The sequence below is a fragment of the Homo sapiens genome, chromosome 12 (genome assembly GCF_000001405.40).
Source record: "Homo sapiens chromosome 12, GRCh38.p14 Primary Assembly".
Classification (NCBI taxonomy): domain Eukaryota; kingdom Metazoa; phylum Chordata; class Mammalia; order Primates; family Hominidae; genus Homo; species Homo sapiens.
The window spans coordinates 122,576,848-122,600,564 of NC_000012.12; the positions used below are offsets into that span (position 1 = coordinate 122,576,848).

Consider the following 23,717-nt stretch of genomic DNA (forward strand, 5'->3'; position numbering starts at 1 on the left):
TTTCTGTGAGTTCTATAACAAAGAAATGTTCATATTGTCTTTTGCAGAGAGTGGTTAGATACATTCTCAAACAAGATGTCCCATCTTCTTTAGAAGATGCTTTAAAGGTAGCCCAAGCGTTTATGTTATCTGATGATGAGATCTACAGTCTAAGAATTATTGACCTGATTGATAGAGAACAGGTTTGTAAGTTTTATGTTGTCATTTCATATGGCTTCTTTGTTTCTGTGTTGTTGTTGTTGTTTTTTGAGACAGGGTCTCGCTCCATTGCCCAGGCTGGAGTGCAGTGGCTGTGTTTCACCATGTTGGTCACGCTGGTCTCAAACTCTCAACCTGAAGTAATCCACCTGCCTTAGCCTCCCAAAGTGCTGAGATTACTGGTGTGAGCTACCATGCTTGGCCTGTTGTGTTTTTAAATGTCATTATTTTTATATGATTCTATAATCATAGCAATGCCTAGGAATTAACTCTTCAGTATCTAGGATCGTATTTTAAATTTATTTTATTGTTTGCTGTCATCAAAAATGGATTTTCAGCATCAGGATGGATAGCTGATGCATGCAGGGCTTAAAATGTGCATGACAGGTTGATGGGTACAGCAAACCACCATGGCACATGTAACAAGCCTGCACTTCCTGCACATGTACCCTGAAACTTAAAGTAAAATAAAATAAAAATGGATTTTCGGATTATTAAAACATTGAACCATAATCTGTTTTTCCAAATGATGTATTTTCATCTTTAAATAGAAAAGAAAGAGGTAAGGCCACACCGTCCTTTGCAAATACCAGCTGTTTTTTCTTCCTTTCAAACCCTGTTTATAGGGTGAAGACTGTCTCCTTCTGTTGAAGTCTTTGCCTCCTGCTGAAGCTGAGAAAACTGCAGAAAGAGTCATCATATGGGCACGACTGGCATTACAAGAAGAGCCAGATCATTCTAAAGAGGTGACATTTTCACTAAGTAAAATATAAGTAAATCCAATTTTTATGGCTATTAATCAATAGGATAGAAAAGATGGACTTACACATATGAAGATCTGCTCTTCTCACTGCTAGGGTGGCCTAGTGAAAAAATTCCTGGGTAAATTTACTACTAGGAGAAAAAAAACAATTGTGGCTGCCTTGGAGCGGCTGCTTGAGCCCACAGAGAATGACCTGGGAGCTGTGGGTTAGCAGGTGTCTTGGAGCAGCTGTTGTACACGAAAGGTTTCTATAAAGCGTTGCAATATAAACAATGTTTTGTGTTATATAGGACATAATTATTGTCAAATAGTAATGTCAGCTACAAAACCAATATAAATCTATATAATCTTATAACATTGAAACTTAGAAATGGTTTTAAGAGAGTTTACTTTTTTGCAGATGAGGAATACTTGGTTTTTCCAGAATAGCTGGATTCTTACTGATTTTTAATTTTTTCTCTTTTTTTAAATATTATATATAGGAGATGAGGTCTTGGTATGTTGCCCAGGCTGGTCTTGAACTCCTGAGTTTAAGTTCTCTTCTAGCCTTAGCCTCCCAAGTAGCTGGGATTACAGGCATGCACCACCATGCTCAATAGTTGGGTTTTTTTTTTCTTTTCTTTTCTTTTTTGAGACAAGAGTCTTGCTCTGTTGCTCAGGCTGGAGCACAGTGGCGCGATCTTAACTCACTGCAACCTCTGCCTCTCAGGTTGAAGCGATTCTCCTGCCTCAGCTGGGAGTAGCTGGGATTACAGGCGTCCGCCACCACACCTGGCTAATTTATGTATTTTTACTAGAGACGGGTTTCACCATGTTGGCCAGGCTGGTCTCAAACTCCTGACGCCAACTGATCTGCCTGCCTCGGCCTTCCAAAGTGCTAGGATTACAGGTGTGAGCCACCACACTTGGCCAATAGTTGGATTTTTAAACCCCTAAGGATAGATACCTCCCAACTTCTCTCAGTCCATTTCAGTAATGTTTTTTGCTGTTGGAAAATGAAGTTATTGTTGTTTTTAACACCTAATATTTGCTATGCAATAGGCATTAGGTTAAATAGCTACTTCTTGTTCATAACAAAGGTGTAAAGTAGTTCCTATTGTTGTCTCCTTATGTATTAAGTTCAAAAACCAAAATATGAAAGTAAATGACTTTTTTCCAAGGTTGTTAGAAAGGGGCAGAACCTCAGCTCAAACTGTCTAATACCATAGTCTGTATTCTTTTTTTTTTTTTTTTTTTTTTTTTTTTTTTTTTTTTTTTTTTTTTTTTTTTTTTTTGAGACGGAGTCTCGCTCTGTCGCCCAGGCTGGAGTGCAGTGGCGGGATCTCGGCTCACTGCAAGCTCCGCCTCCCGGGTTCACGCCATTCTCCTGCCTCAGCCTCCCAAGTAGCTGGGACTACAGGCGCCCGCCACTACGCCCGGCTAATTTTTTGTATTTTTAGTAGAGACGGGGTTTCACCGTTTTAGCCGGGATGGTCTCGATCTCCTGACCTCGTGATCCGCCTGCCTCGGCCTCCCAAAGTGCTGGGATTACAGGCGTGAGCCACCGCGCCCGGCCCGTAGTCTGTATTCTTAAGTACCAGTTTGAATTGCTCCCGTTATGAAAATATTTGAATTTTTTTATTGGCGAGGCACTTACTAAACATTTTACATACATCATGTCTTTTAATTAAAGCATCTCCTTTTTTTCCTTCTCTTAAAATTTTTTTAAATAATCACTGGAAGGTAGTGATTATTTATTAGACTTCTGTTCTCTAGGCCATTTTTTAGACTTCTATTCTTTTTAACTTTTCCAAATGTTTTTTCAAATAGTAAATAACTCTAAAAGCGAATAAGGATCTATTAATCATAATGTAGTTGAAAGGTTATTTGGGAGAGTTGCATATTCTTTGATATTTCTAAATCATATATCCAGGAGTTCATACTGGAGTTTTTCAGGTCTACCCTGTATAACGCTCATTAACCATCCATTTCTCAGCTGCCCAACTCCTCCACGATTGTTTTTTCTGCTTCTGTGGTTTTTGTGTATTTGTATATGTACTACTGAAGTGGTCAGAAAAGGAAGTAGATTTTATTTCGCTTTATTTATTTATTTTTAGGGCAAGGCCTGGAGAATGTCTGTAGCGAAGACATCCGTGGACATTCTTAAGATACTATGTGACATTCAGAAAGGTAGCTTTTACTTCTGTTTTCTCATCTCAGTTTTGTTCCAAAGCTCACCCTCTTCAGAAAGAGGCATCGAAGACAACTCTCACCGTACCCGCAGTTTTTCTGGTTCTGATTGTCTTTATTGATCTTACCCATTTTGCTTCATGAAAAGTCTTCCTTTATTCCTTTATCAGCAATTCAAGAACAGATGCATGCAAAATCAACCTATCATTTGTTTATATGCTCACTTACTATTTAGTGCTAGACTAGATTTCCTTAGCGTCTCGCACTCATTGCTCATTTTTCTCATTTATCAGTTGCTTATGATGGTGGGGAGAAGCCATTTGACTGGAAGTTAAATAAAACAGTGAAGAAAGTAACTTTCCAGGGAAAAAAAAGAAGCTACAATTTACTTCAGAAAAATAACTTTTTTGTAACACATAAACTTCTGTTTTCTACCTCCTGAAAGAATAATTAGATTTTTTTCAAATTAGATCTTTTGTACTTAGTTACTGTATATTATCATTTGAGAAGAACTACTGAAGACTTGAGATGAGAGAACCAAAGCTAATTAAAATTTCTTCTTTTTAAAATTCTGATAATATGAGAATTTGCATGTCTGCTATAACTTTTAAAAATTTAATTACAGACAATCTGCAGAAGAAGGACGAATGTGAAGAAATGTTGAAACTATTTAAAGAGGTTGCTAGCTTACAGGTAAACATATTGAGCCATGTTAAACATTATTACTTGACCAATCAGTGCATTTTTCCCTCCTTAAAGTTTTCTGTATGGCTGGGCGCAGTGGCTTACCCCTGTAATCCCAGCACTTTGGGAGGCCAAGGTGAGTGGATCACAAGGTCAGGAGATCGAGATCATCCTGGCTAACACGGTGAAACCCCGTCTCTACTAAAAATACAAAAAATTAGCCAGGCGTGGTGGCACTCACCTGTAGTCCCAGCTACTCGGGAGGCCGAGGCAGGAGAATTGCTTGAACCCGGGAGGCGGAGGTTGCAGTGAGCTGAGATAGCACCACTGGACTCCAGCCTGGGTGACAGATCGAGACTCCATCTCAAAAAAAAAAAAAAAAAGTTTTTTGCACTAGCCTTTAGGGACTGGAGATACTGGTTTTCCTTCTCTCTCTCTCTCTCTCAACAGCTGTATTGAGATGTAATTTACATACCATATAATTCATCCACTTAAAATATACAATTCAATGATTTTTTTGTTATGTTGTGTTATTAATTTTTTTTTTTTTTTTTGAGATGGAGTTTTGCTCTTGTTGCCCAGGCTGGAGTGCAATGGCGTGATCTCGGCTCACTGCAACCTCCACCTCCCAGGTTCAAGTGATTCTCTTGCCTCAGCCTTCCCAAGTAGCTGGGATTATAGGCATGTGCCACCAAGCCCGGCTAATTTTGTATTTTAAGTAGAGTTGGGGTTTCTCTGTGTGGGTCAGGCTGGTCTCAAACTCCTGACCTCAGGTGATCCGCCCACCTCGGCCTCCCAAAGTGCTGGGATTACAGGTGTGAGCCACCGCGCCTGGCCTTTTTTCTTTTTTTGAGACAAAGTCTCACTCTGTTGCCCAGGCTGGAGGGCTGTGGCATGATCTCAGCTTACTGCAGATTCTGCCTCCCAGGTTCAAGAGATTCTCCTGTCTCAGCCTCTTGAGTAGCTGAGACTCCAGGCATGTGCCACCACACCTAGCTAGTTTTTGTGTTTTTAATAGAGACGGGGTTTTGCCATGTTTGCCAGGCTGGTCTCAAACTCCTGGCCTCAAGCGATCTGCCCGCCTCAGCCTCCCAAAATACTGGGATTATAGGTGTGAGCCACCGTGCGTGGATGCATTATTAATTTTGTTAAAATACTTATAACAAAATGTTCCATGTTAACAGTTATTTAGTTTGTAATTCAGTGGTGTTAATTACATTCACAGTGTTGTGCAGCCATCACCTCTATCTACTTTTTCATGACCCTGAGCAGAAACTCCGTAGCCATGAAAAAATAACTCCCCTTTCCTCTCTTCTCGCAGCCCCTGGTTATCTCTACTTTCTGTCGCTGTGAATTTGCTTATTCTAGCTATTTCATATAAGTGGAATCATACAATTAAGCATGTAAAGGAGTCCTATGACCCAAAAATTTGAGACCAGCTGTAAATAGCTTTCTCTGTGAAAACCATCTGGAGGCCGGGTACAGTGGTTCATGCCTGTAATCCCAACGCTTTGGGAGAATGAGGCTAGAGGATCACTTGAGCTCATGAGTTTGAGACTACCCTAGGCAACATAGTGAGACCTCGTCTCTACTAAAAATAACAAAAATTAGCTGGGCGTGGTGATGCGTGCCTGCAGTCCCAGCTACTTTGGAGGCTGTAGCAAGAAGATGGTGTGAGACTAGAAGGTGGAGGCTGCAGGAGCTGTGTTTATACCACTGCACTCCAGCCTGGGCAACAGAGTGAAACCCTGCCTTAAAATGAATGAATGGATGGATGTAAACAACTGGGAACTACCTTGCTGAGGTGGGGAGGGGAGGAGGGCAAAGGTCGAAAAACTACGCATCAGGTACTATGCTGGGTGATGGGATCAGTTGTACCTCAAGCCTCAGCATCACACAATATACCCAGGTGAGAAGCCCAGACATGTACCCCTGAATCTAAAATAAAAGTTGAAATTATGAAAAAAAAAACTAATGAAAATGATTATTTTAAACAATAGATTAAACAGACTTGGGACTTTGTCTTGCTTACCTTTGCTACAGGAGAACTTTGAGGTCTTTCTTTCATTTGAAGATTATAGCAATAGTTCCCTGGTAGCAGATCTCCGTGAGCAGCACATTAAAGCTCACGAAGTTGCACAGGCGAAACACAAACCTGGGAGCACCCCAGAGCCCATAGCTGCTGAGGTGAGGAGCCCAAGCATGGAATCAAAGCTGCACAGACAGGCACTGGCCCTGCAGATGTCCAAACAAGAGCTGGAGGCAGAGCTGACCTTGAGAGCCTTAAAAGATGGGAACATCAAAACAGCACTGAAAAAATGCAGGTGACATTCCAGATCCCTGAATTGCATAGCTTCTCTGAAATTGCGGCTGGGCACGGTAACTCATACCTGTAATCCCAGCAATTTAGGAGGCCGAGGCAGGCGGATCACAAGGTCAGGAGATCAAGACCATCCTGGCTAACATGGTGAAACCCTGTCTCTACTAAAAATACAAAAAATTAGCCAGGCATGGTGGCATGTGCCTATAGTCCCAGCTACTGGGGAGGCTGAGGCAGGATCGTGGCGGGTTGCAGTGAGCCGAGATCACACCACTGCACTCCAGCCTGAGCTACAGAGCAAGACTCCGTCTCACAAAAAGAAAGAAAGTAACAACTGCCTGATTTCTTCAGTCATAAGGGTAGGGCCAGTGACACTCTTTTTTCACAGAAGCAATTCTTGATTTCTCACCTTCAGAGCATATTTTGGGCCTCAGTGTCAGAAAGTAGTAGCATAAAAGGCAAGTAAGCAATACTGCAGAGTTAGGTAACATAACCATTAAATTTAGGTTACTGTGCACTTCAGCATTTAATGGTATCCTTAGTCATTTGAAAAACAGGCTGGGGCCAGGTGTGGTGACTCACGCCTGTAATCCCAGTACTTTGGGAGGCTGAGGTGGGCAGATCACTTGAGGTCAGGAGTTCAAGACCAGCCTGGCCAACACAGTGAAACCCTGTCTCTACTAAAAATACAACTGTTAGTCGGGTGTGGTGGTGGGCACCTCTAATCCCACCTACTCGGGAGGCTGAGGCAGGAGAATCGCTTGAACCTGGGAGGTGGAGGTTGCAGTGAGCCCAGATCGTGCCATTGCACTCCAGCCTGGGCGACAGAGTGAGACTCAGTCTCAGAAAAAGAAAAACAGGCTGGGCACGGTGACTCACACCTGTAATCCCAGCAGTTTTGGAGGCCAAGGCAGGAGGATTACTTCAGCCCAGGAGTTTGAGACCAGCCTGGGCAACATAGTGAGAGCTCATCTCTACAAAAAAAATTTAAAAATTAGCCAAGTGTGGTGGCACACACCTGTAGTCTCAGCTACTTGGGAGGCTGAAGTGAGAAGATTGCTTGACCCTGGAGGTTGAGGCTGCAGTGAGCCATGATTGTGCCACTGCACTCCTGCCTAGGCGATAGGGCTAGAGCCTGTCTCAAAAAAACAAAAGAAAAACTACACTATATACCATGAGAACATTTAAAAGACATTTAATGTGTTGATGGTGGTGGTGATATATTAATCCAAGAAAGGCCATGCGTTCACTTTCAATGTGAGTATTCTAACTACCAATACTTTCTTTCTTCCAAAGCGACTTGTTTAAGTATCACTGCAATGCTGACACTGGGAAATTGCTATTTCTGACATGTCAGAAGCTTTGTCAGATGTTGGCTGATAATGTCCCAGTGACAGTGCCTGTGGGACTGAATCTTCCTTCCATGATACATGATCTAGCAAGCCAAGCTGCCACCATTTGCAGTCCAGGTGACAATATTTATAATATACGTAGTTTTATATTCTCTGGTTCATGTCATACTTGTCTCCCAAATGCTGTCTCTTTACAATTGGACATCACGGTAATCAGACTAGAGATAGTATCTGCATTTCACAAAGGGATGCTTATAATTGATTCTCTTTGAGGATTATTGTTTGAAAGTATTTCAAAATACTAACAATGTCATTTCTGACTGTTGACATTACTCACTTTTGTAGGATTATGAAATTCCTTGCCTCCCATATCTGATCTTATTTTCAAGTCAAGCTTGAGAAAAAATTTAACTTTTTAGGGTAGTCAAAGCTATATGGAACCTTTCTATCTACATTGTGGCCTTCCTTAGAATTTTAAATGGTAATTATTAAAAGGTTGTTTTCATTATCCTAAAGACATGAAATATGAGTTTAATGATTTTTCTCCATTTTGTTTCAGATTTTTTACTAGATGCTTTAGAACTATGTAAACATACTTTAATGGCTGTAGAGCTTTCCAGACAATGCCAAATGGATGACTGTGGAATCCTCATGAAAGTAAGTTACTTTTGAGTTTTTTCCCTTAAATCCTGGGCAACGCATTATGCACCTTTTTTTTTTTTCGGACAGGGTTTTGTTCTGTCACCCAGGCTGGAGTGCAGTGGCATGATCAAGGCTTACTGCAGTCTTGAACTGGGCTTAAGCAGTCCTCCCACCTCAGCCTTCTGAGTAGCTGGGACTATAAGTGTGTGCCACCACATCTGACTAATTAAAAAAAAATTTTTTTTTTGCAGAGACAGGGTCTCACCATCTTGTCTAGGCTGGTCTTCAATTCCTGGGCTCAAGTGATTCCCCCACCTCAGCCTCTCAAAGTGCTCGGATTACAGGCATGAGCCACTGCACCTGGGCCGTTTTTTAATCATTTGCAAAGTTTATGAAAATACTGAATCCACCTCTTATGTTTTCTTACCCTAGACCGGAAAACAACGTAAGGGCATGAGGCCACTTCTCTGTTCCAGTCACTTGATTGGCTTTAATTTGCACTATCTTTCAAAACATTGGGCCTCCAGCAAGGCCTCCCTCGACATTGTCCTTCTGTTAGAGTTTAACTTAAAATGAAATTTCTATAAGCCATAGACCAGAAGAAACAATGTGTTGTGCAGCGTACTGAGTTCTCTCTTTTTTGTATGATTTGGCACCTAGGCTTCTTTTGGGACACATAAAGATCCATATGAAGAGTGGTCTTACAGTGACTTCTTCAGTGAAGATGGAATTGTTCTTGAGTCACAGATGGTGCTTCCAGTGATTTATGAACTGATTTCATCTCTTGTGCCTCTAGCTGGTAAGTCTTATTTGTATCATTATTTTCTATGTGTTTCTGTCTTATGTAAATTTAAACTGTAGAGGTTTGGAGCTAGAACTACACACAGTAATGTGGGCGAACCTTATAAGCGTAATGTGGAGCTAAAGAAGCAGATACAAAAGAATAAATACTGTGTGATTTCATTTATGTAAAGTACAAACACAGGCTAGGACTAAGCTGGTGCTGTTTGAAGTCAGGGCAGTGGTTACCCTTGAGGGTGGGAAAGGGAAAGGAGGGAGCTGGGGAGCTGGCAATGTTTTGTTTCTTTTTTGTGTGTTTGTTTTGTTTTGTTTTGTTTTGTTTTTGAGACGGAGTCCTGCTCTGTCACTCAGGCTGGAGTGCAGTGGCATGATCTCAGCTCACTGCAACCTCTGCCTCCTGGGTTCAAGCAATTATCGTGCCTCAGCCTCCCAGGTAGCTGGAATTACAGGCTCATGCCACCACGCCTGGCTAATTTTGTATTTTTAGTAGAGATGGGGTTTCACCATGTTGGCCAGGCTGGTCTCAATCTCCTGACCTCAAGTGATCTGCCCGCCTCAGCCTTCCAAAGTGCAGGGATTACAGGCGTGAGCCACCGCGCCCGGCCGATGTTCTATTTCTTGATCTGGATGCTGCTTCTTCAGTTTGTGGACGTTTATCAGGTTATACACTTACCTGTGCATTTTCCTGTGTATATTTATTTTTAAAGCATCAGTTCGCTTTAGAACTTTTTTTATAATAGTGAAATATTTACACATCTGTGAGAGTATGTGCTGTGTGAGGGTTATTTATTTATTTATTAGTTGTATGAATTTAAGGGGTCCAAGTGCTATTTTGTTACATGGATATATTGCATAGTGATGAAGTCTGGGCTTTTAGTGTGGCCATCTATTTAGTGTTGTTTAATGTTTTATTATCTTTTGTAGAAAGCAAGAGATATCCCTTGGAGTCTACCAGTTTGCCATACTGCTCCCTTAATGAAGGTATTTGGCACAAGAAATATATAGCATTCTATTAATATTTATTTATTTATTTATTTATTTATTTTATTTTTTTGAGACAGAGTCTTGCTCTGTTGCCCAGGCTGGAGTGAAATGGCATGATTGGAGCTCACTGCAACCTCTCCACCTCCCGGGCTCAAGCAGTTCTCCTGCCTTAGCCTCCCAAGTAGCTGGGATTACAGGCGTGTGCCACCACGCCGAGCTAGTTCTTTTGTATTTTTAGTAGAGACAGGATTTCACCATGTTGGCCAGCCTGGTCTTGAACTCCTGACGTCAGGTGATCCACCCGCCTCAGCCTCCCAAAGTGCTGGGATTACAGGCGTGAGCCACCACGTCTGGCCTTAAGATTTCTTAATAGAAAGAAATGGTGGTGTGCTCCTGTAGTCCTGGTTACTTGGGAGGCTGAGGTGGGAGGATCTCTTGAGCCCAGGAGGTCAGGGCTGCAATGAGCTATGATGGCACTACTGTACTCCAGCCTGGGCAACAGAAGACCCTATCTCTAAAAAAACAAAAAATCGTAGTTCTAGAAATTTCTTGAAATTCTAAATATGAATGTGATTTAATATCCTTAATGTAATTGTTTAGTTATTATTTTTACATTGTTATTTGTTTAAAAGTTCAGTAGATTATGTGATTTGGCTTATAGTGTTAACTTCTATGAATTTGTTTATAAATTTTTATCTTTCAAATGGAGAAATGGTTTTTCTTCAGCTAAAATAGGCAAGTTACAATCAAAGGATCTCATTAACTAGTAGACTTAGTTATTTTCTGGTTTAAGTCAAGCCTCATGTTAACTTCTCATTAACTAACTGAGAACAAACTCCATGACTATTATCTGTATTGAAGAAGCAGGCTGTCCCTGAAAACAGTTTTCAATAATATGATCTTTCTTTGTTTAAAAAATCTAAATATTAAAATCCTTTATCACTCTGCAGGAGATGGCCTTGTTTTACCTGTTATAAATTCCATCTCTGCCCTGCTTCAGAATCTTCAGGAATCTAGCCAGTGGGAGCTAGCCCTAAGATTTGTGGTTGGTTCATTTGGTACCTGTCTTCAGCACTCTGTGTCAAACTTCATGAATGCCACTTTGAGTGAAAAGGTATAGTGTCAAGAACAAATACTTTGACTTGGGGTGAATATAGATGTAAAAGCGCTAACAGAGGAATTTGGAGTCCACGTTTTCCTATTGTCTTTGTAGCAAGGAAATTGGTAATTCGTCAGATTTAAGAACATTTGTTGAGCATCTCTAAGAATCTGGTGTGGGAATAAGGTGCCTGCACACATTTTCATACTCATTCTTTGCAACAGCCCTGAGAGTTTCCAGTTTACAAATGTGGAAGCTCAGCTCAGATTCAGGGAGGTGGAATAAGTTAACCAAGGTTTTATATTGTAGTGGTAAGTCTTCACACTCTAAGCTTAGTGCAGTGTCCACTATACCACATTTGGTCAAAATATCTGCTGTTTGTTTTGTTATCACCTAAATGGCCAAATTATTATAATTATTTCTGAGAGTATCATTGAGCATCATTGAAGAGATTCTAGAAGACAAACTAACTGTTGATAACTCGCTTATGAAACTGGGCCTCAGAGGGAGTTGTCTTCATTTCTACTACTCTGTTGATATGTATTAAATGCTGACTCTTTTTTAATGAACTGTATTGAGGTATAACTTTCAAAATTAAAATGCACATTTTAAGTATATCAACCAATGTACTCACCTTGTCACCAACACCACAGTGAAGACTTAGGGTATTTTTAATGCTTCCTCTTTGCTCCCTCCCAGTCAGTCCCCCACCCCTTTCTAGCACTATAGGTTAAATTCTGATACTTTTTGGATATAATGATGAATTTTCACCAAAGTTCCTTAATATTTGAAAAAATTTTCAGAATGTTATATAGAACTAGACCTAAATATTTTTTTCTTCTTTTCTAAAAGTTATTTGGAGAGACTACATTAGTTAAATCAAGGCATGTTGTTATGGAATTGAAAGAAAAAGCTGTTATATTTATCAGGGAAAATGCTACAACACTACTGCACAAAGTAAGTATTTGTTCTGGGTAAAAATTTTGTTTGTTTTTTTTTTGCCTTTTACCTCAGTTAATTGCATATGACTCAATAGTTTATGATTCAGTACAGTAGTATTTTACTATTCAAAAACTTCAAGAAACTGTCTTATAGCTAATCAATTATATTTTTATTATGGTAATTGACATGCTATAGAGCTTTTATGAAATAGTAGTCAATCTTGTCCACTGTCGTATCCTGATTTTGGTTACTTATATTTATATTTATTTATTTTTTAGAGATGAGGTTTTTCTCTGTCACCCAGGCTGGAGTGCAGTAGTATGATCATAGTTTGCTACAGCCTTGAACTTCTGGGTTCTAGTTATCCTCCTGCCTCAGCCTCCCAAGTCACTGAGATTATAGGCATGAGCAACTGTGCCCCACTCTGTAGTTATTTATTTTACAGATTAAAGCATTCCAATGATCCTTTCACTTATTTCTATTGCAGAAATCCTAATTTTCCATTACCCTTTATTTTTTAAAAGATTCTAATATTTTAAATATTAGATTTTTTATTAGATGTTTTTAAATATTAGAAATATTTAATGTTTCATCAACTGTATTTGGTGAAAATATAGTTGCATTAAGCATTTAATTTCATTTGTCAGATTACTTCTTTAAAAAAATTGTGTTTTTTTTTTTTTTTTGGAGACAGGGTCTCACTCTGTCACCTAGGCTATAGTGCAGAGGCACCATCATAGCTTACTGCAGCCTTGAACTCATGGGCTCAAGCAACCCTCCTGCTGCTCAGCCTCCTGAGTATCTGGGGCTGCTGGTGTTTTACCATGCCTGGCCAATTTGTAAAAATTTTTTGTAGAGACAGGTCTCACTGTGTTGCCCAGGCTGGTCTTGGACTCTTGGCCTCGAGCAATCCTTCCACCTTGGTCTCCTGAAATGCTGAAAGTACAGGCATGATATTGTGCCCGGGCCCCCCAATTTTTTTTTTTTTTTTTTTTTTTTTGAGACGGAGTCTCGCACTCTCATCCAGGCTGGAGTGCAGTGGCGCGATTTCGGCTCACTGCAAGCTCCGCCTCCCAGGTTCACGCCATTCTCCTGCCTCAGCCTCCTGAGTAGGTGGGACTACAGGTGCCCACCACCACGCCTGGCTAATTTTTGGTATTTTTAGTAGAGACCGGGTTTCACTGTGTTAGCCAGGATGGTCTTGATATCCTGACCCTTGTGATCCACCCTCCTCGGCCTCCCAAAGTGCTGGGATTATAGGCATGAACCACTGCACCTGGCCTAAAATTTTTTATTTGGAGATAATTTCAAAGTTTCAGGAAAATTTTAAGAATAGCACAAAGATCTTTGGTATACCGTTTACTGTTTCATCATTTTCTGGCATGCTCTTTCTCTATTTTTCTATTTATATATAAAATCATTTCATATTTTGTATATATTTTTTGTATTTAGGATTTAGTTACATACATTATAGCTCTTTACCCCTAAATATTTCAGTGCCCTATAGAACTTGTAGTTGCTTTCCTTACTCTTCAGATAGTCATAAAGGACATTAAACCTAAGCAAACACATTAGAACTATGTTACTATAACTTTTCATGAAACACTTCTTCTGTAGTGTCTATAATTCAATTTAGTGGTAAATAAACCTTGAGACACTGAATTCTGTTTTTTTTTCTTTAAAAAGTTTTTTTTAAGTATAAATTAAAATTATTCCTCTTTATTTGTATTTCTGCCCTTTGTGAACAAAGTTAATTCTGTTTTGATTGTGAAGAATTTGCTTCTTTTGCTGGTTTCTTCCTGTAGGTATTTAATTGTCGCTTGGTAGATCTTGACCTGGCGTTGGGTTACTGCACTCTCTTACCTCAAAAAGATGTGTTTGAAAATCTCTGGAAGCTCATAGATAAAGCATGGCAGAATTACGACAAAATCTTGGTATGTCCTAAGGAAGCACACCTTCAATTCTTGAAGTATTCAAGATTGGGGGGGAGAAATGAAGTTGGTTTTGCCACCTGTTCTTAAAGATTTAGTAGAAGAAATGTTGAGCTAACTCGTGATTTCTACCAGCTTCTGCTTGACTGGTGACATACTGTTGCCTGTATATGCAAGTTATGAGCATTGTTCAACCCAAAGAATTACAGTTTTTTAATTTCTTAAAATCTGTGTACACCCTTAGAACCTCAAATCTTATTTTGGTGTAGTTGAAACCCTAGACCCATGAATCAGTTTGTTTTTGTAGGATAAGTTTAACAGATAGAAAATTTCTCTTGGATATTGTGTTAAGGGATTTTCTTGCAAGATAACTAAAATTTGGCCTTTTATTATAAAGGAAAGCCAGGCTAAATGTATAGCATTATACGAAAACCTGAATTACCTAAATATTACGTAAGAAGTAACGACTGTGTACAAAATAATATGTAACATTCTACACGGTTGATCACAAAGTTATGATTTTTATTGTTGCGTTTCGTCTAAAAGGTGTTATAAGAATACATTCTACTTACGATTGAACTTTAATTCTCTTTTAATTTTTTAGGCAATATCTCTGGTGGGCTCTGAGCTGGCAAGTCTCTATCAGGAAATAGAAATGGGGCTTAAGTTCCGTGAACTCAGTACTGATGCCCAGTGGGGCATTCGTCTTGGTAAACTTGGTGTGAGTATTCTTTGTACTGCTGTCATCGATTCTGTTAATTACCCGGTTGGAAAATTTAAAACAAAGATTCTGTTGTTCTTTACTTTTGGGAGGAGAGTGTATGTGTACTGCCTCATACATTTTATTAACTACACACATAGGTGCTTTCAAAGAAATAAGGAACTTTTTGCCTCATTTCCTTTTTTCTGTATTTTTAAGGAAATTAAAAGGGGCCTGACATTTTCAGCTGCTTAACTTTCTCATTTATAGGTATATATCTAGTATCAATTGACATTTATGCTATTTCAGGCCTAGCCTTTAGCCTCATACTTTTGTTTTCTGCTGCTGTTATTTAAAGATAATATTAAAATGTATATACAGCTATATACCATGCTTCAAGAACTCCTAGTGAGAGGTGACAGTGTGCGGGCAGTCCTCACAGCCCTCGCTCGCTCTCGGCGCCTCCTCTGCCTGGGCTCCCACTTTGGCGGCACTTGAGGAGCCCTTCGGCCTGCCGCTGCACTGTGGGAGCCCCTTTTTGGGCTGGCCAAGGCCAGAGCCGGCTCCCTCAGCTTGCAGGGAGGTGTGGAGGGAGAGGCGCGAGCAGGAACCCGGGCTGCGCATGGCGCTTGCGGGCCAGCTGGAGTTCCGGGTGGATGTGGGCTTGGCGGGCCCTGCACTCGGAGCGGCCGGCCGGCCCTGCCGGCCCCGGGCAGTGAGGGGCTTAGCACCCGGGCCAGCGGCTGCGGAGGGTGTACTGGGTCCCCCAGCAGTACCAGCCCACGGGCGCTGTGCTCGCTTTCTCGCCGGGCCTTAGCTGCCTTCCCACGGGGCAGGCCTTGGGACTGCAGCCCGCCATGCCTGAGCCTTCCCCCGCCTCCGTGGGTTCCTGTGCAGCCCGAGCCTCCCCGACAAATGCCGCCCCATGCTCCACGGCGCCCAGTCCCATGGACCGCCCAAGGGCTGAGGAGTGTGAGCGCACGGCACGGGACTGGCAGGCAGCTCCACCTGCAGCCCTTGGTGCGGGATCCACTAGGTGAAGCCAGCTGGGCTCATGAGTCTGGTGGGGACGTGGAGATTCTTTATATCTAGCTCAGGGATTGTAAATACACCAATCAGCACCCTGTGTTTAGCTCAAGGTTTGTGAATGCACCAATCTACACTCTGTATCTAGCTGCTCTGGTGGGGCCTTGGAGAACCTGTGTGTCAAAACTCTGTATCTAACTAATCTGATGGGGACGTGGAGAACCTTTGTATCTAGCTCAGGGATTGTAAACGCACCAATCAGCGTCCTGTCAAAACAGGCCACTCGGCTCTACCAATCAGCAGGATGTGGGTGGGGCCAGATAAGAGAATAAAAGCAGGCTGCCCGAGTCAGCACTGGCAACCCGCTCGGGTCCCCTTCCACACTGTGCTTTGTTCTTTAGCTGTTTGCAATAATCTTGCTACTGCTCACTCTTTGGGTCCACGCTGTTTTTATGAGCTGTGAGACTCACATGAAGATCTGCAGCTTCTTTCCTGAGTGGAGACCACGAGCCCACCGAGAGGAAGGAACAACTCCAGACGCTCTGCCTTAAGAGCTGTAACACTCACTGCGAAGGTCTGCAGCTTCACTCCTGAGCCAGCGAGACCACGAACCCACCAGAAGGAAGAAACTCCCAACACATCTGAACATCAGAAGGAACAAACTCCAGACGCGCCACCTTAAGAGCTGTAACACTCACCTCGGGGGTCCGCGGCTTCATTCTTGAAGTCAGTGAGACCAAGAACCCACCAATTCCGGACACACTAGCAGAGGGGACGTAAATGGCCTTTATTTTTCTTTCTTTTTTTCTTTTTTTTTTTTTTTTGAGACAGAGTCTTGCTCTTTTGCCAGGCTGGAGTGCAGTGGGACGATCTCGGCTCACTGCAACATCCGCCTCCCAGGCTCAGGCAATTCCCCTGCCTCAGCCTCCCAAGTAGCTGGGACTACAGGCATGCACCACCACGCCCGGCTAATTTTTTGTATTTTAGTAGAGACAGGGTTTCACTGTATTGGCCAGGATGGTCTCCCATCTCTTGACCTCGTGATCCGCCCACGTCGGCCTCCCAAAGTGCTGGGATTACAGACATGAGCTACCGCGCCCAGCCTTGAGCTTTATTTTTGACATTGTAAAAGAACAGACAAGCAGGCAGGGCGCAATCTTGTCTTTGACAGGATCTCATTCTGTCACCCAGGCTGGAGTGCAGTGGCATTATCATGGCTCACTGCAGCCTTGACCTCTAGGGCCTAAGTGATCCTCCCAGCTTAGCCTCCTGAGTAGCTGGGACTACAGGCATGCACCACCATGCCCAGCTAATTGTTTTGTATTTTTTTGTAGAGACAAGGTTTCCATGTTGGCCAAGCTGGTCTCAAACTCCTGACCTCAAGTGATCCACCCGCCTCAGCCTCCCACAGTGCTGGGATTATAGGCATGAGCCAAAACCCTGTTTTCTTTACCAAAAATATAAGACATTTTATTTGCCAACAGTTGACTTATCAGAAAGGTAATCAGTACAGAAATGCTATATGTTTTGAAGCTTAATTCTTCTGCAGTAATGGAACTGGTGTTCTGTTGACATTAACAATCAAACTTTTCAGATGAAGAGGCAATGGTTAGGATGACTAAGAGGAGTTTCGGACCCATGTACACCTCAAATCTCAGAATGATGGCTGGGTTGGGTAGTGTGAGGTTGGAGGAGCTATAGACAAATGTTTCTTTTTGAAAAAGGATACTAAGAAGGCAAGTCATGATGTTGCCCTTACTCTGATACATTTCAGTGTAGAGGGTTTTTTTGCTTTGTTTTTTTCTTTTTATTTCTAGATTTCTTTTCAACCAGTTTTCAGGCAACATTTTCTCACCAAGAAAGACCTCATTAAAGCTCTTGTGGAGAATATAGATATGGACACAAGCCTCATTTTGGAATATTGCAGGTAATTCTTTAAACATTAACGGTATTTTTGCTGTTAACAAACTGGTAATTCTTTTGCAAGAACACAGTAATAACGATGATTATTTTATGAGGTCCATAGACCACTATTTTCTTTTGCTCATTCCCAAACTGAGTAAATATGAAATCAGATTAGAGTCTCTTATGATACCACCATTTAAATTCACCATTTAGTGTTTCCCAAACTTGTCTCCTGATAAGCACTGCTTAGGGCACTTGATTTCAAATGCAGGTTTCTGGGCCTCTCTGGCAGTTCTGACTCAGTGGGTCTGGACCAAGGCCTAGAAATCGCTGGTCTCTAATAGGAGCTCAGGTGATTCCTATGATCAGAAAAGTTGGAGAATATTCTTCTGAGTAATAAACTTCTAAATCAGGTTAACTAGGGAGCAAAGTAATCTTAAAAATTAATGAAAAGTATGATTTAGGGAGAATTTCTAATTTCCTATTAAAAATGTTTATAAAAGAATTTTTATTTTTATTTAACTTCTTTCTTTATTTGAGACGGAGTCTCCCTCTGTCACCCAGGCTGGAGTGCAGTGGCGTAATCTCAGCTCACCGCAGCCTCCACCTTCAAGCCATTCTCTGGCCTCAACCTCCCAAGTAGCTGGAATTACAGGCATGCACCACCACGCCTGGCTAATTTTTATATTTTTAATAGAGATGGGGTTTCACCATGTTGGCCAGGCTGGTCCCGAACTCCTGACCTCAAGTGATTCACCCGCCTCGGCCTCCCAAAGTACTGGGATTATAGGCGTGAGCCACTGCGCCTGAACAAGAATTTTTAGAACTAAGATAAAATGTGTTATTTATAGATTCCGCTGACTTTGATAAGTAGGGATAAATGATTTGTAATTTATATCTCAGATGTTTCTGTCTAGTAAATACAAGGACTCGTTTTCTGGTTTCAGAATGCTTTCAGATCTGTCACCTCATTTAATTTTTATAGTTCTTATTGCATATGTTGCCAGTTGATATATGAGAAAACAACATAGTATGTGACCTGCTCAAGGTCAAATTATTAATGACTGCTTCTAAAATATTATGGGTGCTATAACCTCCATCTGATTTGTAACAGATTAATGGAATCTGAGTTATTGAGAATGAAACTGCTTGGTGCATTTCCTGCACTGGGCAGGCATCTAGTTCTTTGTCTCTGTGGATAGTGGGGAAAGACCGTGGCTGTCACCATCTAGTACCTGTAAGTCAAGGACTATAGGCTGCGCATAGCTCGAAGGAGCACTGACTTAAAAGAGTAGTTTGAAATAACAAAACTATGTCATTCTTCAGTTTAGAGTGTTATAAATCCAGAATAGGGTATGCACACTCTTATCTTTTTTATTAATTTGAACTACTGCTAGATTCTTCTGTGATGTTTTATGGTGCAGGACACTTTTTTGAAATTTAAATAGCTATAATGTCAAGTTCATTTCATAATTATTCTACTTACGTGGCATTGATGATTTGTATTCATATGATAGTGACACTTCTGCCTCAGGCAGTGTATCTGAATAAATTTAGATAAACTTTAGAATATCAGAGAGTGACTTGAAAATGGTGGTACTTAAGCCTTTTATTGATATTTTAGTTATGCTGTATAGCAAATTAAACTATCACTGTGTTATTAATAGGGTCTAAAAAGGCATTTCAGTTGTCATTTTGTCTATAGTAACCAGATTCTTTTTTTTTTTTTTTTTTTTTGAGACGGAGTCTCGCTCTGTCACCCAGCCTGAAGTGCAGTGGTGCAATCTTGTCTCACTGCAACCTCCACCTCCTGGGCTCAAGCGATTCTCCTGCCTCAGCCTCTTGAGTAGTTGGGATTACAGGCGCATGCCACCATGCCGGGTTAATTATTTGTATTTTAGTAGAGACCGGGTTTCACCATGTTACCTAGGCTGGTCTTGAACTCCTGAGCTCAGGCAATCCACCCGTCTCGACCTCCCAAAGTGCTAGGATTACAGGCGTGAGCCACCATGCCTGGCCTAATTTTTGTATTTTTGGTAGAGATGGGGTTTCACCATATTGGTCAGGCTGGTCTCCAACTCCTGACCTCGTGATCCACCTGCCTCGGCCTCCCAAAGTGCTGGGATTACAGGCGTGAATCACGTGCCCAGCCTGATTTTTTTTATCTTTAAAAAAAAAAAACAAAACAGCTTTTTGGCCAGGTATGGTGGCTAACGCCTATAATCCCAACACTTTGAGGGGCCAAGGCAGGAGGATCGCTTGAGGCCAGGAGTTGGAGACCAGCCTTGGTGACATAGTGAGAGCCCCATCTCTACAAAGGTAAAAAAATTCACTGAAGTGTTGTGGCGCATGCTTGTAGTTCCAGCTACTTGAGAGGTTGAGGTGGGAGGATTACTTGAGCCCAGGAGGTTGAGACTGCAGTGAGCCTTGATCATGCCGCTGCACTTTAGCCTGGGGAACAGAATGAGACCCTGTCTCAAAGAAACAAAAAAAAATCCAATTTTTGTTTTGTTGATCCTTGGTATTGTTTTTGTTTCAATTTCATTTATTTCTGCTCTGATCTTTATTCTTTTCTTTTACTAATTTTGTTTGGTTTGCTCTTCCTTTTCTACTTCTTTAAGATGTATTGTTAGGTTGTTTATGAATTTTTTCTACTTTTTTGATGTGTAGGCACTTATAGATATAAACTGTTTTCAGCTTTTAATCATTACAAAGAGTTGCTGCAGAAGACATCCTTACTAACATGTATATTTTTCTTCTTAGGTGAAATTTGTAAATGTTGCATTTTTATACTAAAGAGCATAAATATTTTCAATTTTATTACAGATTTCTCTCCAATATTCTAACAGTTTACACACCCACCAGGAATAATACCTGATTTTTTTTTTTTTTTTTTTTTTTTTGAGATGGAGCCTTGCTCTGTTGCCCAAACTGGAGTGCAGTGGTGCGATCTTGGCTCACCGCAACCTCCACCTCCCGGGTTCAAGCAATTCTCCTGCCTCAGCTTCCCGAGTAGCTGGGACTACAGCCATGCGCCACCATGCCTGGCTAATTTTTGTATTTTTAGTAGAGATGGGGTTTCACTATGTTGGCCAGGCTGGTCTCAAACTCCTGACCTCGTGATCTGTTCACCTTGGCCTCCCAAAGTGCTGGGATTACAGGTGTGAGCCACTGCACCCGGCCTAATATCTGATTTTTAAAAGGCAATAATTAGCTTTGATGACAGGTAGTTTGTCTGATTTTGAGACTGGACAATGACAAGGTTAAATTTCAACAATGGAAGCATGTACCCAAGTGTTTTGTCAGATACTTTGCATGGAAATGCCTGCAGTTTGGGAGACTGGTGTGTATTGAATGCTTCTTTTAGCACATTTCAGTTGGACTGCGATGCAGTTCTTCAGCTCTTCATTGAAACGCTGCTCCACAACACAAATGCCGGCCAAGGCCAGGGAGATGCAAGCATGGACTCTGCAAAGCGGCGGCATCCCAAACTCCTGGCCAAAGCCCTTGAGATGGTTCCTTTACTGACGAGCACAAAAGATTTGGTCATCAGTCTTAGTGGAATACTACATAAGGTAGACACACAGTGAAATGAATCGGGTCATCTCAGCCATCCCTCCCACCCTTAATAATTAGATACATTAGTAACAAATTGGATGTATAAGTCTATATTTTTATCAACTTTTAATTTGAAATATTCTCTTGATTTCTATATTTTTAACACAGTTAAATACAATTTTCCCATTTTTCAAAATAGAAATAGCTTTTCTTCCCCAGATTTTTGAAAACCTTACACATTCTTTGAATTTATATGAGCTAGAGAGAAATGTATAAATCAAAACAAGCAATTTCCCTATAACTCCACTCCCTAGAGATGAAGATGTTAATAGTGTGGTGTAGTAACTATCTTAAACTAAATATACTCTTCTGTGACCCTCTTTTTTCACTTAACATATGGTCATTATATGTCATTACATACACATCTATCTCAAAAGAAACAATTTCTTTTTCATCTTTTTCATGGTCCTGCCGGAAATGTCTTTTTTCTTTTTCTTTTCTTTTTTTTTTTTTTTTTGAGACAAGGTCTTGCTCTGTTGCCCAGGCTGGAGTGCAGTGGTATGAATGTGACTCACTACAGCCTCTATGTCCTGGGCTCAAGTGATACTCCAGCCTCAGCCTCCCGAATAGCTGGAATTACAGGTGTGCACCATCATGCCTGGCTCATTTTTGTATTTTTAGTAGAGATGGAATTTCACCGTGTTGTCCAGGCTGGTTTCAAACTCCTGGCCTCAAGTGATCCTCCCACCTTGGCCTCCCAAAGTGCTAGGAATACAGAGGTGAGCCACGAGGCCCAGTGAACCGTCATTTTTGACAGATGCATAACTATTATTCCATTATATGGATAAAACATGCCGTATTTAACCAGGCTTTTATGGTTAGACATTTAAACTTTTTTTTTTTTATTTGAGATAGGGTCTCACTGTCACCCAGGCTGGAGTGCAGTGGTGTGAACATGGCTCATGGCAGCCTTGACCTCCTGGGCTCAAGTGATCCTTCTACCTCAGCCTCCCAGATAGCTGGAACTGTAGGTGCATGCTGCCATACCCCAGTAATTTTTTTAATTTTTAAAATTTTTTAAATTAAAAAAAAAATTTTTTTGTGCAGATGAATCTCACTGTGTTGTCTGGGTATGGCTGGGTAAATTTTATTATCATAAATTGTTATAATTAATATCTTCATACATATTTTTATACTTTTGTCTGATTTGTTTTTTAGTTTTTTTTAAGAGAAGGGGGTCTCACTATATTGCCCAGGTTGGCCTCTAACTCCTGGGCTCAAGTGATCGTCCTGTTCAGCCTCCTGAGTAGCTGGAACTACAGGGACTACACCTGGCTTCTGCTCAGTATTTGTTTAGGAGATCTTCTGATCTTCTGAGAATTGGAATGTTTGGTCAGGGGGTAGTTTAATGGAGAAATGAAGGTGAATGGCAGGGAAAAAAATTTTTTTTTTTTCTGAGATGGAGTTTTGCTCTTGTTGTCCAGGCTGGAGTCTAATGGCGCAGTCTCGGCTCGCTGTAGCCTCTGCCTCCTGGGTTCTCCTGCCTCAACCTTCCAACTAGCTGGGATTACAGGCATGCGCCACCACGTCCAGCTAATTTTTTATATTTAGCAGCAATAGGGTTTCATCATGTTGGTCAGGCTGGTCATGAACTCCTGACCTCAGGTGATCTACCTGCCTCAGCCTCCCAAAGTGCTGGAATTACAGGCATGAGCCACTGTGCCCAGCCTGGAAATAAAATTTTAAGCCTGAAATAAATATTTCAGTTTTATATTTTGCTTGCAATTCAGCCAAAAATTACATAGATTGCTCAAAATTTCTAGGTAACAATATTTCATCTTCCCACTTTGTTCAATGTTGTTTTTCACGCGACTTTTGTTGGCATTTAAAAAATAGGCCAGCCTGGGGAACATAGTAAGAATTTGTCACTACAAAAAATTTTTTTAATTAGTTAGGCCTAGTAGTACGTGCCTGCAGTCCCAGCTATTTGGGAAGCTGAAGAGGGGAGGATTGCTTGAGCCCAGGAGGTCAAGGCTGCAGTGAGTTGTGATTGCACCACTGCACTCCAGCCTGGGTGACAGAGCGAGACTCTGTGTCAAAAATAAAAAGGAAAAAAGTAATGGTGTGTGGGTAGAAAGAAAGAACAAAGAGAAGACTTCCTTTTTTTGTTTTTGTTTTTGTTGTTGTTGTTGTTTTGAGATGAAATCTCACCCTGTTGTCCAGGCTGGAGTGTAATGGCACGATCTTGGCTCACTGCAACCTCCGCCTCCTGGGTTCAAGCGATTCTCCTGCCTCTGCCTCCTGAGTAGTTGGGACTACAGGCACGCACTACCATGCCGGCTAATTTTTGTATTTTTAATAGAGACAAGATTTCGCCATGTTGGCCAGGCTGGTCTCAAATGCCTGACCTCAGGTGATCCACCTGCCTTAGCCTCCCAAAGTGTTGGGATTACAGGCATGAGCCACTGTACCCAGCCTGACTTCCTTTCTTTTTGTGTTAATATGTATATATGCCACACAATTAATTCTTGCACTATAGTATATAGTTAGAGCTAAAACAGAATCCTTTGAGAAACTTGCTTGGAGGCCCACAGTTTTACTCATGTCATTTCTAAGAAAAGGATCAGTTTCTTTCTGTTCCAA

The 23,717-nt window shown here is 41.3% G+C and overlaps 1 protein-coding gene across 11 annotated transcripts in view; it reads left to right on the forward strand.

Annotated features, from left to right (window-relative positions):
- Positions 1 to 23,717, forward strand: part of KNTC1 (kinetochore associated 1) — a 99,148-nt gene that overhangs the window by 49,599 nt on the left and 25,832 nt on the right. For 7 of the 11 annotated variants that reach the window (NM_014708.6, XM_006719706.3, XM_011539027.4 and 4 more), the window contains 15 exons: positions 48 to 182; positions 825 to 944; positions 3,058 to 3,130; positions 3,756 to 3,823; positions 5,858 to 6,138; positions 7,431 to 7,603; positions 8,046 to 8,143; positions 8,789 to 8,927; positions 9,854 to 9,910; positions 10,864 to 11,027; positions 11,865 to 11,969; positions 13,760 to 13,888; positions 14,490 to 14,606; positions 17,429 to 17,538; positions 20,884 to 21,091. In NM_014708.6, coding sequence (NP_055523.1) covers positions 48 to 182; positions 825 to 944; positions 3,058 to 3,130; positions 3,756 to 3,823; positions 5,858 to 6,138; positions 7,431 to 7,603; positions 8,046 to 8,143; positions 8,789 to 8,927; positions 9,854 to 9,910; positions 10,864 to 11,027; positions 11,865 to 11,969; positions 13,760 to 13,888; positions 14,490 to 14,606; positions 17,429 to 17,538; positions 20,884 to 21,091 — 1,977 coding nt within the window. Of the gene's footprint in view, positions 1 to 47; positions 183 to 824; positions 945 to 3,057; positions 3,131 to 3,755; positions 3,824 to 5,857; positions 6,139 to 7,430; positions 7,604 to 8,045; positions 8,144 to 8,788; positions 8,928 to 9,853; positions 9,911 to 10,863; positions 11,028 to 11,864; positions 11,970 to 13,759; positions 13,889 to 14,489; positions 14,607 to 16,012; positions 16,333 to 17,428; positions 17,539 to 20,342; positions 20,418 to 20,883; positions 21,092 to 23,717 lie in introns of those variants that run through there. The other 4 variants (XM_024449285.2, XM_047429918.1, XM_011539030.1 and 1 more) reach the window with 3 other exon arrangements.